Source organism: Homo sapiens, chromosome 9 (genome assembly GCF_000001405.40).
Source record: "Homo sapiens chromosome 9, GRCh38.p14 Primary Assembly".
Lineage (NCBI taxonomy): Eukaryota > Metazoa > Chordata > Mammalia > Primates > Hominidae > Homo > Homo sapiens.
Window position 1 is genome coordinate 71,718,997 of NC_000009.12, and position 15,095 is coordinate 71,734,091.

The following is a 15,095-nucleotide window of genomic DNA, read 5'->3' on the forward strand; positions in this document are numbered from 1 at the left end:
TCCACTATAACAACTCAAATAGTCAAACGGCCCCATGATGCTCAAATACTCAAATACATGATATTCAAATACTCAAATGGCCCCATAAGGCCACCTATTTTTTTTTAATCATTTCTGTCTTAATCTTACAAAACGAACGGAAGAAAAAAAGAAATCACAGCTTTTCAGAAACCAATTCAACAGGTAGAGATTTTCAACCAGTGAGGAAACATCATTTGCCTAATGCTAATACCACAGCTGTTGGCACACAGTAGGTGCTCACTAAATGGATATGATGGCAGAGGCAGCTATCGAGAGAAAATAGCAAGTGCAAATGTCCTTAGGCATGAGTGAGCTTAGCATGTTCAGGAACAGCAAGGAAGTTTGCTGGAGAGAAAGAAGCAAGGGAGACAGAATAGAGAGGAGGGCAAGGGCTAGGTAAAGATCTGGGTCTCCATTGGAAATGCAATGGGAAGTCAATGGAAGCATGGAATCAAGGAAGGGATGTGATCAAATTTCTTTTTTGTTCTTTTAAGAGATCACTGATTGCTATTTGGAGAATGGATTATAGAGAATGGACTCTAAGGAGACCAGTCAGAAGGATCTTCATGTGTTTCAGACAGATGCATGTGTGGTATAAACTGGGGTAGTAGCTGCGAAGATAAAGAGTGTCATATCCATCTTTAGATTATATGGCCCAAGTCCCTTTACCCTAACTAGCTCTGACTTAAGAGGTAAAAAGTTTGACTCTAAGCCAACATCTACTCTCTGGCATTGTAGTTCCTGCCAAACAGCTTTGTAGTCATTACATAATAGTAAGCAGATGGAAGAGTTCCGGAACGGAGACATACTGTTCTAAACGAAAGCAAAAAAAAAAAAAAAAAAAGAGTACTATAAGGCAGCATCTGATTCTCTGCTGTAACCATCTCAACTTCTCTGAACTTCCTATCAATATAAATCAATCACGACACCCCCACAGTGCCCAGGCATGTACAGGGAGAAAAAAAGTAATCAGTAACTGACCACTTGCTTTGATACCCTTTATTTCCATCTTCTTTCCCACTTGGCATATAGACAATAGTTACTTTTTCCCGATTTTCTTATTATCATCATTGAGTTTTCAGCACACTTCTCAACTGTCTCTTAATTGTCCTCTGCTTTAAATGTACTAGGTGGTTCTAATGCCCTTTCACTCTTGTAGATTAAATTTCCTAATTTCAAACCAAGAGCTTTCTTCAGTTAAAATTTTCCATCTTTGGATTCCTATATTTTCACGTCTTGAAGACACAAGGAAAGGCTTATGTGATTAACAGGTTTTTTTGTTTGTTTTTTTGAGATGGAGTCTTGCCTTTTTGCTCAGGCTAGAGCGCAGTGGCATGTTCTCAGCTCACTGCAACCTCCACCTCCAGGGTTCAAGTGATTCTCCTGCCTCAGTCTCCTGAGTAGCTCAGATTACAGATATCTGCCATCATGCCCAGCTAATTTTTTGTATTTTTAGAAGAGATGGGGCTTCACCGTGTTGGCCAGGCTGGTCTTGAACTCCTGATCTCAGGTGATCCACCCGCCTTGGCTTCCCAAAGTGCTGGGATTACAAGCCTGAGCCATCACGCCCGGCCCTGATTAACTGTTCAGTCAGCTTCCTCTTTGATGAACAGATTAAATATCTTCTGGATCTTCTAAGCCTGGTGTTTAATATATGAGCTGGTTTATTACTCATTTATGCTAGTTTTTATCATTTTTACCATGTCTAAATTGCATGAATATATATATGAGCATAGTCTAAACACTAGTTCAGTATATGCACAAGCTCTTGTTCCTTTTCTGCTATAATCAGTTCTTTTCAATAACAACTTCCAAATGGAGTCCAATTCCTTATCAATATGTATGTAGTTATAAACTAGTAAGAGAAATAAATAATGGAGAGAAGAAAGATAACCATTTTCATAATATCACATACACACACCTAGTAAGGAACTACTTAAGCCATTATGAGTAAATTGTTTTATTGTCAAGTCTAATTAAAACATCAATGAACTCAAATATATTTACTCTATTCATATATATACACACATATATTCACATATATACACATACACATTACTATAAATATACATAAATATATATACATAAATAAGTTTTTAAGGCAGGGAAGAGAACCAATTGTGTTTATGGATTTTTTGGCAATGCTAAGCAAAGAACACATTACTTTCTACCAATTATAATAAATTATATTAGTTCTACCAATTATAATAAACTCTTCAAAGCTAAAAAAGCAGCAGTAACCTTCTAGATAGAATTCTTTATTTGCCAGCTAATATTCTCCTCTTAGTTCATAATTTATTGTCATCTATATACTCTTTTTTCTTCTTAAGTTTATCTCTTCTATTTTTTCACTTCATTTGTTGATCAGCTTTTAGGTATCCAGTTCTTTGTGTTTTATTTTTTAAAACGCCCACAGTTTCTTGGTTTCTCAAATGCTATCTGATCATTGCATCAACATATTTCAGGCTCAACTTGATGTTTGAGGAATCCTCAAGACAAACTAGACTTTCCCCAGTTTTCTTCTGACCTCATGTCTTATTAAAGTGTTGTGAGAATCTGCCTCACCCTGAAGTCAGGCTCACCAACCTATGGTGTGCTTCCTACTTGATTCTTTGAAGAACAATCAGGCCTGGTATTCTTTTCCTAAGTGTCTGTCAACAAAGCCTATTAAATCTAGCACTCTATCAACTCCATAAACTGGTCAATCAATTTGAAGTATGGAAAATAATAATATGTACACAGGTTCTACTGAATATGACTTTAAGTCACCATCTTTTCCAGAAAAGTTTATTTTCATCTGGGACATTTTCTTTATTTTGGCTCATATATAGCATGTAAGAGAACTCTGCTGAAATGCTGATCCATACCTAATGCATTTTGTGATTACAAAAGAAAGTAACCTAGAGCCTGGCTATGATGTAAATCTGAGGCTACAAAGGGCTGAACCAGAACCAGGTTGCTCATCAAATTTGGGATCATTCCTTTTGAAATATTAAATGCAGTATTCATTTTGACCACAAAGAATAAATTCTATATGGTTTGGTTTTTCAAGGATGAGACTAAACATCTTAGTTTAACTTATTTTTCAATGAATCATACTGCACACCAAATTTGGAAACTTTCTCAACATATCTCCTCTTTTTTCTTTCTCTTTCTGCAACTCTCTCTAGCATCTATTTATAGCAATGAAAAAGGAGAAAAACATCAACCTCTTTAGTATTTCAATAAGATAAAAGACCAGTCACAGGACCTGGGACAACAGAATAAGTGGTTTTCCAAAAACCCTTTTACGAACTTCTAAAACTTTATTTTAAATGTATTACCACAGAAAGAGCACAATAAACTCCAGTTAGAAAGTTTTGCTTTGGCAAAGTATAGCTTGAGTGTGACTTAAAAGAGCCAGCTTTACCTTGCACTATTGTCCAAACAGAGGTATTCCCTTGGGTCAGCAGCACTAGAGTTGGTTGTTTTGACACCTTTGTCAATAAATAAGCCAGCCTGAAAAATATAAATAATGGACTGGAATGAATATGAATCCCAACTTACAACAACATATACAATGATTCATGAAAATAGATTTTAGCTTATCACTTCTACCAAAAAAAGTGGGGCAGGGAATCAACAGCAAAGGTACTGTAAAAAAAAAAAAAACAGCTACTTTCCTGGATATTTTCTACTCATTTAACTCATTTCACTCATTTAGTCATTCAACAAATACTTACTGGTAGGCACCCAGTGTTATACATTAGTTAACAAGAAAAATATGATCCTTGTTGTTGCTAACACAAAAACTAGCAGAAAGACATGCAATTAAATAAATAATTACAATCCAAAACGATAAGCATATGATAAAGGAAGCAGATGAGGTTTGAGCAGAAAAGAAGGGCATCTGGAGAGGCCTTTTTTGTGGGTGGAGGTGAGAGGATTCAGGGAATGTCTCCTAAAAGAAGTGACCTCTTAAAGCTGAAACCTGAAGGATGGAGAGAAATTAAGCAAAAGAATGGATTGGTGGTGCAGGGGAGGAGGTGGGAGGAAGGAGCTGAAGAGCCAGAGAAAATAACTCAAGGGAATAGTTTGTACAAACGTCTAGAGATGGCAGAGAGCATGGAACAGCCAAAGAAAAAAAAAAAAAAAACAAAACCATGATGGACAAACAAAAATGTACGAAGGAAGGAAATATAATGGAGAAGGCTAAAGAGGAGCAAACATCAGATCACATGGAATTGATGTGCTACAGAAGTCAGGACAATAGGAATTTAATAAACGCATTGTAACCAACTGCAAGTTAAGGAAAAAACACTGTAGCTATAAAATGGATAATGGATTGAAAGAGAATTTAAAAAAAAAAAAAGGAGGCAAATAAGGTAGAAGATGATTTCAGTAATCCAGAAGAGAAATAAAGATGATCTAGACTCATGGCCATACTAACAGTGGAAAACAGATAAAACGAAAATTATTTACTAAGTAGAATTGATATCATTTTGTAATTGATAAAATTCTGTGGGTGAGGGAATGAAAGCAATAAAAGCTCATATATTTTTGGTTCAGGCCACAGCTGAGTAGTGGTTTTGTTCACTGAGACAGACATATGAGAATAGGTCTGGGCCTAAAAATAAGAATTTTAGTTTGCAACATGTTTTATTTATGTCCATAAGACATTCAAAGGGTACTCAGTAAGCAGTAGGATAAGCCTGACCAACCTGGACTAGTACAGATTCGGGAGGCATCAGCAGTTGAAGCCATAAGGACCAGTGTGTGTGTGCGCACACATGTGGGTGTGTGCCTGTGTGTGCATGTATGTGTTTATGAGTTATTCCAAAATGACATGTTTCTTTTTGAGTACTCCAAGAATTCAATCTCCTTTGGCTATAAAGTATTATCCTGGACAGACATTTCCAAATTTAACAAATTAACACCTAATCATCCACTCATGTCAATTAAATTTAATATTCTTATTAATTGAGTAAATTACTGCACATTAAAAATCAATTAGAATGGGGCCAGGCATAGTGGCTCACACATGTAATCCCAACACCTTGGGAGGCCAAGGCAGTCAGTTCACAAGGTCAGGAGTTCAGACCAGCCTGGCCAAAATGGTGAAACCCTGTCTCTACTAAAAATACAAAAATTAGCTGGGCATGGTGGCAGATGCCTGTAATCCAAGCTACTCAGGAGGCTGAGGCAGAGAATTGCCTGAACCCAGGAGGCAGAGGTGGCAGTGAGCTGAGATCGCACCACTGCACTCTAGCCTGGGCGACAGAGCAAGACTCTGTCTCAAAAAAAGAAAAAAAAAAATTCCATTAGAATGAGGTGCTTTTTATACCATTTACAATTAAGAAAAATTGAGGATTTCTACTATGAAATGCTATTTTCAATAAACATTAACTTAATCAACTATTCAGCTCACAAAAATCAGTTTTGTATAGTTTTTCCTCAACTCTTCATCAAGTGATTCTAAGCTCTTCAAACTGTAACACACTTAGGTTTTTAAAGGATCCTCTGAGTATCATAAATGCAAAGTATTCCTTGAACTCTGGTGCGGGTCACATCAGGGTAAAGGATCTGGGCATCACACACATAACAAAACATTAAAGTGCCTGTGAGCACAAAATAAACCAAATGTATTTATCACCAGGGGGCGAAGGGTTAGAGCCAAATTTCATGAAAAAATGGAAACTCCTAATGGCCTTTAGGTTACTTGATCTGTATCATTTTAAATTAGGTCAATTATTCTTAAGCAATATTTCACTATTTATATAATTAGTATAATGCCTAATAGGACACTCTACCAGCCACTGTGAATCAAAAAGAAGAGATGAATTATGCTTATCAACCCCTAGAAGGATATTATTTAATGTGTACCTCCCTAGAAACAGGTAACGACATTAAAGATTGGAAAGAAGTTGAGAGGGAGGAAGAGGTGAGAAGAAACAAGGGAGAGGATGAGGACACATGAATCAAATCCATTATGTAATTATTCAGGTTACACGTGCATGTATGTGTTGCACATACCTGTATGCGCAATAGGTATGTATAAATGGAATGCTCTCTATATATCCTGAACAGGGAGGGGTTAGGTGTCTGTTTTTAATTACAAATTACTTTCTCTGATGACAAGTTCTACCAAAAATTGACATTTCTCAGCTATAATCTACTACAGTTTGAATGCATCCCCCAAAAAGCATGTGTTAGAAAGTGCAAAAGTATTGGGAGGTAGAGCCTAATGGAAGGTGTTTAGGTCATAACGGATTCGCCCTCTTGAATGGATTAATGCTGATTATAAAAGAGCTTGAGGCAGCAAATTTGTTCTATAGCTCTCTCGCCTTCTCCTTGCCCTTCTACCGTGGATGACACAGCAAGAAGAACCTTACCAAATGCTGTCCCCTTGATCTTGGACTTCCCAGCCTTCAGAAGTGTGAGCCAAATAAATTGCTGCTCATTATAAGTTAACTAGTCTGTGATATTCTACTACAGCAGCACAAAGTGGACTAAAATATAATCACAATAGTTCATCCTTTACACTGTCTAGCATATGTACTAATTGTTAAAACTTAGAAACCTACCTTAAAATTTGAATGGACCCTGTTGTTATAAAATATACCCAATGGAGTGAGTTCTGGTTTTGCCAAGAGCTGCAATCCACTGGATTCCCCAGTTGGTTCCTTGTGGAATAAATACCATATTCCAGCATCCTACAAATGAAAGGACAAGCCCATTAAAAGCCTAATTTATACAGATATCTATGAAACACTCTCATAAACTAACTTCTTCATCAGCAAGTTTAATCTTTTTCACCCAAATTTTTCATTATTGCAGGTTCAGAATTGACAATAAAAAGTTGTACACACGTCTCAAAGTGGTTATATCATGTATTTTTTTAAAAAAGCAAATTTAATTTTGCTTGCAGGATTGGACAAAAGAGAAATAATTGGCTGGTATAAAAATTCACTTTCAAAACTTTTCCATCATTATCTACGTTAAAAGTTATGCAGAATTAAAACCAAATCGGCTTTCCATGTAACCAAGACAGCACAGATGTTAAGCAATATGGTTTTTATCTGTTTACCTCCAAACCTGTTCAATAGATGAGTCATGCCTATTAAACAACTGTCCACCAGCACGCAGAGATCACTGACTTCTTTCAAACAAGTCTAATGCCCTTCCTGTCCTGAGGCAAATTTTTGCCAAAGAAAAAAAAACCACCACACGTATGAATCAGGATACTGTCTCAGGCTGGGCCCTGTCTGTTCAATTTCAGTATTACTGACCTTAATAGGAACATAACAGTTTAAAATTTTTTGACACTCAAAAATTAGACATAAAAATGGAAATAAATGTTAATTCCCATGACAAATCTTTATTTTACAACTCAATTAAAAATCAGCCCAATGTGAAGGACAACTTCACTTTATGGAACTTCGATTAAATAGTTTGTTAAAACTTAATCATACAGTGTAAAAGGACAGCATTAATTCAAATTCAGCACACATTTATTTAGTGCCCACTATATGCCAGGTATACAGTAAGACTATTCTCAAATAATTCATAGTCTAATAAGAAAGATAGAGATAATTAAAATATAATATACCTAATAAGTACTTACTAGCTGTAACAAATAGAGTCCATTGGGAGGAGAGATGAGAGAGGAATTATGGAAAACATATATTTATACCTACACACCAGAATGAATGCCATGTGTAACATTTTCCATGATAAAAGTCTACAAATGGGTCTTAACAAAACAAACTACTCTGAAAAATGTTTGCTACCTCAACTCTTCTGGGCACAAAACAGACAAGTTGACGGGATAAGACCTGGAGGGTCAGAAGAAAACTCCATACCATAACCCATAAGCTGAGGGCAGAGTGGACCATCCTAGGATGCAATGGAGATGGAGATGGGAGTGGGACGGGGATAAGGGGAGTAGCAGCTGTTTCCTGTTAAAACACAGTGGTGTCAACACAGGTAAAAGGAGCTTTGTAAAAGGCAGTGGAAAGGTACAATGAAAAAAATGGTTTGATTTACTTTGGGAGGAAAAACCCTGCCCAAATTAGCTTTTACCGGAACAGTTTTTCTAGAGAGAAAATAAACAGCTCACAGAATAAAAAGGACGAACATACATGCAACGCTTTCTTCTTTTCTCACATGAGCCACAGTAAGGGTATCTGGCAGCCTCACCTTCTATTTTTCATGAACTCTCGGCAATTTGCTTTAATCTTCAAGCCCTGACTTCTAAAAAGAGCTAAAAGAAATCTTTGTTCTGACTGTTGACGCATAATGTTACATAGATCAGAAGATGGCTGTGCATCAACTTCTTGGTCATCTTTACTCAAAAACTCACTTTCCAGTTAGAAACTCTAGCACAAACCTCATACAGGCTCAAAAATATTTGATGAAAAATCAATGAATGAAAACCTAAAATGATCAAATGTCTGGGTTTCTGCCCTGTCAAATAGAATCTTCAATTGACAGGGACCTTCAGATTATGTGTTATGTTTTTAAAGAAAATAACAGATATGAGTTCAAACCATCACCCACTGATGCCTTTTTTCCTGTTATCTCAAATAAATACTCCCTTCAACTAATCTTTTGCTTCATCTTAGCAAACAATGCTAGGTATTTATTTCCTTTTAAAAACTTTAAATAGCCATGATGTATAAATATGAATATTTAGGTATCACTGCAAATTTCATTTTTTTAATTGCAGTCTTCAACACAGTTACAATCTCGATAGCATACTATCTTAAAAGATTCATTTAGTGGATGGGTACGGTGGCTCATGCCTGTAATCCCAGCACTTTGGGAGGCCAAGGCGGGCGGATCACCTGAGGTCAGGAGTTCAAGACCAGCCTGGCCAATATGGTGAAACCCAGTCTCTACTAAAAATACAAAAATTAGCCAGCCGTGGTGGCAGGGGCCTGTAATCCCAGCTACTTGGGAGGCTGAGGCAGGAGAATCGCTTGAACCCAGGAGGCGGAGGTTGCAGTGAGCCAACATTGCGCCACTGCACTCCAGCCTGGGGGACAGAGCGAGACTTCACCTCAAAAAAACAAAAAGATTCATTTAGCCTGAGTATGGTGGCTCATGACTGTAATCCTAAAACTTTGGGAGGCTAAGGCAGGTGGATAGCTTGAGCCCAGGAGTTCGAGATCTGTCTGGTCAACACAGCGAAACCTTCTCTCTCTCTCTCTCTCTCTCTCTCTCTCTCTCTCTCTATATATATATATATATATGTATATACACGTATATATATATATATATATGTATATATATATATATATATACATATATATATATATACGTATATATATATATCTCAGCAGGTATGATGGCATGTGCCTGTAGTATCAGCTACTCAGAAGGCTGAGGTGGGAAGATGGCTTGAGCCCAGGAGGCAGAGGGTGCAGTAAGCCAAGGTCACACCACTACACTTCAACCTGGGTGACAGAGCAAGACCCTGTCTCAGGGAGAAAAAAAAAGATTCATTTAGGTTTTAAATGAGCAGTTTTAGTAACACTAAAATTCTCAATAATAAATACAAATTTCTCCAAACTTATCCAGGGGACATTTCTACTACCCAAAAATATCATTTAGTCTCTTAAAAATTATTCTCATGTGTGTTTTAATTCATCATAACGAGTTTTGCTGCTTTCCCAAGGAAATGAAATTCCCACTTGTATATAAAGCCTTACATTCAACAAAAGGGTGTGCCCCCTGACCAGAGTGACAACTGTCATGGTATTCTCCAAAATAATCCATTCTCATAAAGAAAAGCTAAGGTCTTTTTTGTGGGGTTTTTGTGTGTGTGTGTGTGTGTGTGTGTGTTTTTATTGACACGGGGTCTCACTCTGTTACCCGGGCTGGAGTACAGTGGCGCAATCTTGGCTCACAGCAGCCTCCACCTCCTGGGCTCAAGTATCCTCCCACCCCAGCCTCCCAAGTCGCTGGGACAATAGGCAAACACCAGTAGGCCTGGCTTTTTTTTTGGAGGGTGTAGGGGGAGGTGATGATTGGGTTTCGCCATGTTGCCCAGGCTGGTCTCGAACTCCTGAGCTCAAGCGATCCAACAGCCTCGGCCTCCCAAAGTGCTGGGATTACAGGCGTGAGCCACTGTGCCTGACGTAAGCCTATTTTTATCAACACCCTGAAATTGAAATTATCAGTTACTTGGCCACATATGACTTAAATATGAGAAGCCAGAAAGGTTGTACTTAATACACCAAAAATACACTCTGGAAATAACATAACCCTAGTGATTAGCCCACTTCTTTTCCCCCTTTGGCATCTCTCTTATTAAACTCATAAATACTAATGGGCACAGGCCGGGCGTGGTGGCTCACGCCTGTAATCCCAGCACTTTGGGAGGCCAAGGCAGGCAGATCACGAGGTCAGGAGATTGAGACCATCCTAGCTAAAAAGGTGAAACCCCGTCTCTACTAAAAATACAGAAAATTAGCTGGGCGTGGTAGCAGGCGCCTGTGGTCCCAGCTACTCAGGAGGCTGAGGCAGGAGAATGGCGTGAACCCGGGGGGTGGAGCTTGCAGTGACCAAGATCGCGCCACTGCACTCCAGCCTGGGCAACAGACCGGGACTCTGTCTCGAGAAAAAAAAAAAAAATTACAAAAAAGATACTAACGGGCACAAAGAATTTAGGAGAAATAGAATAATCATCTCTACCGTATTCTGCTCTCAACTAAACAAGTAGTACCAGAAAACAATGTCATGCTTGGGTTACACTGGCACACATGACATTAAATCCAAATAAACCAGACTATTTATAAACAAGAAAAACATTAAAACATCTGAGGTCACTTTAACGTTATTTACCTGTGAGCCTGCAGCTGCATTATTAATCAGATTATTGTTGGGATGAGCAATCCAGAAAGTTGAAACAGCCCTGCAAGGCATTTTTCAAGGTGATTTAAACATTCTTCATAAAAACTCCTGCCCACTAAAAACTTCCCCCAAAACCTCTTCCCCAAAAGTCAAAGGCCCTGACTCATGGGTTTTTCTCTCCGCCAATTACTCACATACAGTCAGTAGCAGGCACAGGAATGTAATTTCCAAACACTTTATCTCGCATGGTGGTACACATGGAGTTGTTCCTATCGGTGGGCAGGAGAGTACCCGGCTTGGTGAGGAGTCCCAGATTGTGGAACAAAGTATTCCTCTGTTCAATACCATCTTCCAAAAAGAAACAATGACCTAGTGTGTCAAACCCAATGGTGTCTTTTATCTGCAGAAATAAAAGTATATTAATGTCATTGGTAACAAGAATGATTGTGATTTAAGTGACAAGCGCTATCCAGTGTAGCATGTTCAGTACAAGTGGAAAAACAGGTTTGAACCTTAGCAGAATGGGCAAAGTGAAATGTCAGGCTTAATTTATCTCTGAAGGGGATAATCTGCTTGGGTCCCACAGGGGAAAAAAATAAAAATAAGTTGTAAATAAATAAATAAAAATAAAATACAAGACATAAAATTGAATTAAATTTAAAAGAGGATACTCTGGGTGGTTGGAAAGGTAGGCTTCCTTCAGACAGAAAAATCGTGGAATGCTCAGAAAAGGCAGGATAGAGCAAGGCATGTGGCTAAACAGTTTACATATATAAAATTGAGAAGACATGAGAATTAAAGAGAGTTAACTATTTCAATAATATGGGTTGACCTAATGCGAGGCTACTTACTAGCAAGCCATTTGTCCCATGCACAGTGATGCACCTTGAGAAGCTGTGATGAATAGACAGGCCGTCCACAAATGTTGCATGTCTGTATCCTCCTTTATAATCCACGTCACCACACAGGTGAAAATGAACAGGGTATCGCCCCATCTGCTGCTGACCCATGTGTTTCAATTCCACATAAGAAAGATGGACTGAAGTAAAATTTTTCATTATCTGTAAGTCAAGGTACTAAAATCAAACTCATACTTTTCAGAATAGGGAAGTAGCAAAAAATATTGTTCTAGTAGAAAACATCCAAAGGAGAATACTTATTAAAACATTCGATTTTCTTTTGCATCCTGTTTTCCCAGATTGCCAGTTAATAATTTAGGAAATGCTTCTTTACAAAAGCAAATACTTTAAAGAGCCACAAAAATAGCCTCCAATTAGGAATAAAGGCAAATGTAATCAGGAAAGCTGCAATAATGATCTCTGCTAAGTGTTTTGATTTGTTCAAATATTTTGGTCATTCCCAGTCTCGTCTTGTTCTTTCACTTCTATAACCTCCATCAGAGTCTGATAAATAGTTATTTATTTCTAGATCCTCCCCAGTGTTTTAGTTAGCACATAATATTGTTGGCTTAAGTTACTTTTAAAAGTTCTTCTGTGATCCAAAGTTTGAGCACTCTCAATATATTTAAACACTAGATTTTCAATCGTATTACTAACAACAAGGGAATAGTACTGATCGACATTTCAGAAATCCTTGTAACAGGCGGGGTACAGTGGCTCACACCTAGCACTTTGGGAGGCCAAGGTGGGCAAATTGCTTGAGCCCAGGAGTTCAATACCAGCCTGGGCAACATGGCAAAACCTTGTCTCAAAAAAACAAATGCAAAAATTAGCCAGGCACTGTGGTGTACACCTGTAGTCCCAGCTATTTGGCGGGGCTGAGGTGGGAGGATCACTTGATCCCAGGATATTGAGCCCACAGTCAGTTGTGATCATGCCACTGTACTCCATCCTGGGTGACAGAATGAGACTGTATCTCAAAAAAAAAAAAAAAATTCCTTGTAACAGAAATACTACTTACAACCACAGCCTACTCAATGCACAAAAAGTGATTTAAAAACACATGTAGCCAAAATGCAGCCCAGAAGTCCAACAGATTAGTATATATTAATAGAATACTGCCTAGCATATAGTAAGTGCTCAAAATTTTTCCAGAACAAAAATTTGCATACAAAAAATATTTTTATAGGAACATATTTTGCATGTGCTTGCTAGTATTGCTAACCCTTTGGTAATACTATGCTTTTTAAAAAAACTAATTGATTCTTTCAGAAATCGCATGCATGGATACCAACCAAGAGCCTTCAGTTTTTTTTTGTTTTGTTTTGTTTTTTGGTCTCTGTAATTGGTTCTTCCCAATATATTGATTTGACTCTTCATGGAACAATTCTTAAATGGTTTAACTAGAGGTCCAGGTCAACTAACTGAAGTCATAACATTCTATTTTAATCATCTAAAACCTCCTCATTGTCATTTGAGAAACAAAACATGATTTGCTTTTAATATCCATTTATATCTTGTTCCAAAACTTGACAGTTTCTTCAAACATATATTTAGCAACCAGGATTTCAAAGAAATAATCAAATCCTTTTGCCTACCATAATGTGTCCCCCAAAGGTATCATAATCAAAAAATTGGCACTGATTTTCTGCGTAGCATGAGTCCTCCACTTCTCCTTGGATCACAATATTCCGGGTAAGAATTCCAACCTCAGCTCTCATGTCTACACCGTCTATGATCTCACCCATGTGCAGGAACTGAGGGGTTTCTGGTTGATATGAGCAAGGAAAAAAAAGAATATTAGAACAAAGAAAACATGAAACTCACTTCAAAAAGACATTCTCTTCATTCCATAACCCCAAGATGATCCTGACAACTTATCATCTGCTCCCATTCTCTGACACTTCAGAATCAGAATCCCAGGACACGGGGAATTTTTTTTTTTTTTTTTTTTTTTTTTTTTTTTTTTTGTGAGACGGAGTCTCACTCTGTCCCCCAGGCTGGAGTGCAGCGGCATGATCTTGGCTTACTGCAAGCTCCGCCTCCCGGGTTCATGCCATTCTCCTGCCTCAGCCTCCCAACACAGGGAATTTAAAGATCATCTAGTCCAGCCCCCACCCACTGCCTGAACCCTCACTACTAACTGTTCTGCCAATTCTCAAACCCACACACTGACAGAAAGCTTGTTCCTTCCTGAAGCAGCTCAATCCTCCCTTCAACAGCACTAATAATCTGGAATCTAATGATCTATAATCTTTCTCTCCAGTTTCTGTCCATACGCTCTTGGTCTCCTCCCCTAGGGCATATGAAGAACCAAATGCATAGTGAGTCCATAAAACAAATGGTGTGTAGATATTAATATCAGGGTGTCAACTTGTTTATGCTTTTACCTGAAAGCTGAAGTAATCTGCAACTGGACATTAACAATAGATAAATTACCATCTTTTCTTTCTCATTTCTTATTTTATGTTATTATGCATTCTTTTAAATTCCCACATTTACTGGAAGTGTAGAAGCACTTTAATAATGAGCTTTTCACTGATGATCTTATTACATAAACTCAGGAAGGAAAAATACACATAAATCTTGGGAGGACAGTTCATGAAGACTCATCATGCAGACTTGTTAACAAGAGTTGGAATTTCCAAAAAAAATTAATGCCAGATGGTATCATAGTTTTGGGGTTTTTTTGTTGGGGCAGTGTTCTTGTTTTGTTTATGCCCTGTATTATCAAGAAGGAAAAGTACAATGTTGACGGAAGCACAGGGAAAAAAGGCCAGGTGAGCCAATCACTATTTTTTTCTAAAGCAGAAAATTTTTCCTTAAATGTTGAAGCTCTACCTATTACTCTAAATTACTGAAAAACTAAAGAAGCACTTACTGAACAGTTACTGTAAACTCTTTTGTTTTATACCATAAATGTATAATGTTGAGTTCAAAAGAAAAGCAATAGAATGAGTGAAATGCACAATGAATCCCATAAATGAAGCAATGTACAAAGGGGCTGTGCCTAGTACCAGGCTCAAAATGAGTGCCCGGTAAGTGTCAGGCATTCTTTCAATATGCAACTTACAGTAAGAATTTCTTTGTGTAGTCTTTTTTTTTTTTTGAGACGCAGTCTCGCTCTGTCGCCCAGGCTGCAGTGCAGTGACATGATCTCAGCTCACTGCGACCTTCGCCTCCTGGGTTCAAGCGATTCTCCTGCCTCAGCCTCCCTAGCAGCTGGGATTACAAGCCTTGTGCCACCATGCCTGGCTAATGTTTTTTGTATATTTAGTAGAGATGGGGTTTCACCGTATGGGCCGGGCCGGTCTCAAATGCCTAACCACAAGAGATCCA

The 15,095-nt window shown here is 38.0% G+C and overlaps 1 protein-coding gene across 6 annotated transcripts in view; it reads right to left on the bottom strand.

Moving 5' to 3' along the window:
• The window catches only part of CEMIP2 (cell migration inducing hyaluronidase 2), an 86,101-nt gene that overhangs the window by 35,631 nt on the left and 35,375 nt on the right, over nucleotides 1–15,095 (bottom strand). For 5 of the 6 annotated variants that reach the window (XM_047423136.1, XM_005251869.5, NM_001135820.2 and 2 more), the window contains 6 exons: nucleotides 13,355–13,524; nucleotides 11,709–11,918; nucleotides 11,052–11,257; nucleotides 10,849–10,918; nucleotides 6,585–6,713; nucleotides 3,431–3,519 (listed from right to left, as the gene is read on the bottom strand). In XM_047423136.1, the coding sequence (XP_047279092.1) occupies nucleotides 3,431–3,519; nucleotides 6,585–6,713; nucleotides 10,849–10,918; nucleotides 11,052–11,257; nucleotides 11,709–11,918; nucleotides 13,355–13,524 (874 nt within the window). The remainder of the gene's footprint in view (nucleotides 1–3,430; nucleotides 3,520–6,584; nucleotides 6,714–10,848; nucleotides 10,919–11,051; nucleotides 11,258–11,708; nucleotides 11,919–13,354; nucleotides 13,525–15,095) is intronic. The other variant, NM_001349784.2, reaches the window with a different exon arrangement.